This window comes from Homo sapiens, chromosome 6 (genome assembly GCF_000001405.40).
Source record: "Homo sapiens chromosome 6, GRCh38.p14 Primary Assembly".
NCBI lineage: Eukaryota > Metazoa > Chordata > Mammalia > Primates > Hominidae > Homo > Homo sapiens.
The window spans coordinates 170,515,874-170,519,928 of record NC_000006.12 but is presented as its reverse complement, the minus strand read 5'-3'; positions in this window follow the sequence as shown (position 1 = coordinate 170,519,928).

The following is a 4,055-nucleotide window of genomic DNA, read 5'->3' as shown; positions in this document are numbered from 1 at the left end:
TCAGTAGAATTGGTACTAGCTCTCCTTTGCACATCTGGTAGAATTCAGCTGTGAATCCATCTGGTCTGGGGCTTTTTTGTTTGATAGGTTTTAAAATTATGGATTCAATTTTGGAACTTAATATTGGTCTGTTCAGGGTTTCAATTTCTCCCTGATTCGATCTTAAGAGATTTTGTGTTTCCAGGAATTTATCTATTTTTTTTTCTAGATTTTCTAGCTTGTGTGCATAGAGGTATTCATAATAGTCTCTGAGGATCTTTTGTATTTCTGTGGGATTGGTTGTGTAACGTCACCTTTGTCATTTCTGATTGTGCCTATTTGGATCTTCTCTCCTTTTTTCTTTGTTAACCTAGCTAGTGGTCTATCAGTCTTGTTTATCCTTTCAAACAACAAACTTTTGGTTTAGTTGACTCTTTGTATGGATATTTCGGTCTCAATTTCATCCTGTTCTTCTCTGATTCTAGTTATTTCTTTTCTTCTTCTAGCATTGGGGTTAGTTTGTTCTTGTTTTTATAGTTCCTCTAGGTGTCATGTTAAATTGTTAATTTGAGATCTTTCTAACTTTTTGAGGTAGACGTTTAGCACTGCAAATATTCGTCTTAACACTGCTTTTGCTACATCCCAGAGATTTTAGTATGTTGTGTCTCTGCTTTTATTTATTTCAAAGACTTTTCTGGTGTTTGCCTTAATTTCATTGTTTACCCAAGAGTCATTCAGGATAGAGTTGTTTGATTTCTATGCAATTGTGTGGCTTTGAGAGGTCTTCTTAGTATTGACTTCTATTTTTATTCTACTGTGGTCTGTGTGTATGGTTGGTATAATTTTGATTTTTTTGAATTTATTGAGACTTGCTTTATGGCCAAGAATATAGTTGATCTTGCAGTATGTTTGGTGTGCAAGATGAAAAGAATGTATATTGTGGGTTGATAGGTGTATTCTGTAGATGTCTATTAGGTCCAATTGGTCAGGTGTTGTATTTAAGTCCAGAATTTCTTGGTTAGTTTTCTGCCTCTATGATCTGTCTAATGCTGATAGTGGGGTGTTGAAGTCCCCCACTATTATTGTGTGGCTGTCTAGAAGTACTTGTTTTATGAATCCTGTTGAATTGAACTCTTTATCATTATGTAATGGCCCTTCTTTGTTCTTTTTTACTGTTTGGCTTAAGGTCTACTTTATCTGATATAAGAATAGTGATCCCTAATCTTTTTTGTTTTCCATTTGCATGGTAGGTTTTTCTCTAACCCTGTACTTTGATCCTATGGGTGTTGTTACATGTGAGATGGGTCTCTTGAAGATAGCAGATAGATGGGTCTTGTTTTTTAATCCAACTTTCCACTCTGTGTCTTTTGAGTGGGTGTTTAGACCATTTACATTCAACACGAATATTAATATATGAGGTTTTAATCATGTTGTGAAGTTCTTAGCTGGTTGCTTTGTAGTTTCTATTGTGTGGGTGCTCTGTAGGATCTGTAGGCTGTGTACTTCAGTGTGCTTTTGTGGTAGCCAGTATCATTCTATTGCTTCCATGTTTAGACCTCCTTTAAGGATCTCTTGTAAGTCTGGTTTAGCGGTAATGAATTCTCTTAGCACTTGCTGGTTGGGAAAATATTTTATTTCTTTTAGCTGAGTTTGGTGGGATATGAAATTCTTGGTTGGACTTTCTTTTCTTTAAGAATCCTGAAAATAGGCCCCCAATCTCTCCTGGCTTGTGAGGTTTCTGCCGAAAAGTCCACTGTTAGCTTGATAGTGTTCCCATTGTATGTGATTTGACTTTTTTCTGTAGCTATCTTTAAGATTTTTTCTTTAGAGTTGACCTTGGACAGTCTCATGACTCTCTATGCCTTGGTGATATTTGTTTTGTATAGTCTCTCACAGGTGTTCTCTGGATTTCTTGTATCTGCATGTCTACTTCTCCAGCAAGAATACGGAAATTTTCTTGAATGATTCCCTCAAATATGTTTTCCAGATTATTTACTTTTTATCCTCTCTCAGGAATGCCAATAGTTTATAAGTTTGGTCTATTTGCATAATCTCTTAGTTCTTGAAGATGTTGTTCATCTTTAAAAATTCTCTTTTCTTTATTTTCGTATGACTGGGTTAGTTCAAAAGACTGGTCTTCAAGCTCTGCAATTCTTTCTTCTGCTTGGTCCAGTCTATTGATAAAACTTTCAATTGTATTTTTAAAATTTCTTAAGTGAGTTTTCAATTCCAGAAGGTCTAATTGATTTCCCCCTTTGGAAGATGTTTGTCTCTTTCTTCATTTCGTGGATTGCTTTGAAAGTTTCTTTGTGTTGATTTTCAACCTTGTCTTAGATTTCATTCAGCTTCCTTGCAATCCATGCTTTGAATTCTTTATGTGTCATTTTTGAGTTTCCATTTTGGTTATAGATCATTGCTGGAAAGCTAGTTCAATTCTTTGGTGGAATCACTATATTCAAATTTTTCATGGTGTCATAATTCTTGTGCTGGTTCCTTCTCATCTGGAGATGTTGACACTTCTAATTTTTGTGAATATTTTCATCCAGGATTCTTATCTTTTTCTTTCTTTTACTATAGTAGTATTATTAGTTTTCTTTCCTTTTCCCTTTACCCCCTCCCTAGGGGTGCAACTGTAGAGAATGCTGGGTAGGGTCTTTTGGCTTTATTTCTATAGCCCTGTGCACTTCTTTCAGCTTTTATATTGGGCTGTGCAGTTCGACCTACAATCCAGTAGATGGCACTTATAGGTAAGAGCCAGCAGCAGCCAACGTGGCTGGGTCTATACTTGATCCTTCTTTAGTGGCCGAAGCTTACCGTTGCCTCAGGCAATGGGGTGATTCTGGATTGCACAGTGGTCTGAGCTCCCTGCTCAGCCCTAGGGGGTGGAATGGGGGCCACAGTGGGCAGGCCTGGACTGGGCAGGTCTGCCTACAGGTCCACCAATGGCAAGCACAAGCATCCTTTTACTTTCAATCTCCCTGTATCATTGTATTTGAAGTGAGTTTCTTATAAACAGTGTATATTTGGGTCATGCTTTAATTCACTCTGCCAATCTCTTCCTTTTAACTGGTTTATTTAGAGCACTTACATTTAATGAAATTGTTGATACATTAGGTCTGAAGTTGCCATCTTTTTTTAAATTTTCTGCTATTTCCCTCTGTTTTGTTTTTCTGTTATCCCTACCTTCCTATATATTTCTTGAATATTTTTGTTTTACAATTCCACTTTGATTTATGTATTGCACTGTTTAGTTTATCTCTTGGTATCGCTTTTCTACTTATTACACAAAACACGGTCTATCTGTGTTAGCATTTTACCAGCTCCCGTGAAAAGTAGGAAAAAAGGTGACCTCCTTTATGTCACCTCACCCTCCTCATTTATAATTTAATAATCATAAATATTTGATATTAATAATATGTTTAATGTAATTGTCTGAAATATTTCCTCCATGTGTATTTACAACCACATCAGTTAGGGTTATAATTTTTGCTTCAACTATCAAACATAATTTAGAATATTCAAGAGGAGAAGGAAAATGTATTTTTTAATCTATATTTTTACTATTTTCCTTGTTCTTTCTTTTTTCCTAATGATTGAGAACATGTCTCAGAGCGTCTGAGGAATGTGAGATATGAATTTTTTTTTTGAGAGAGACAGGGCCTTACTCTGTCACCCACACTGTAGTGGAGTACAGTGGCATGATCATAACTTATTACAGCCTTGAACTCATGGGCTCAAGTGGTCCTCCTGCCCCAGCCTCCTGCGTAACCAGGACTACAGACATGCACCGTCATGTCAAGTAATTTTTAAATCAATCTTTCCTTCTTTTCTTTTTTTCTTTCTTTCGTGGAGACAGGATCTTGATCTTACTGTGTTGCCCAGGGCGGTCTTGAACTCCCATTCTCAAGTGACCCTCTCACCTCAGCCTCCGAAAGTGCTAGGATTATAGGCATGAAACACCATGCCTGGCCTGATATGGAAAATGTATCAGACGCAGAGAGACATAAACATGAGACTCTAATCATGTCCTCTGCAGCCATACCTGGGGGCAAGTTTTTAAAGGCATTTTGATTTTT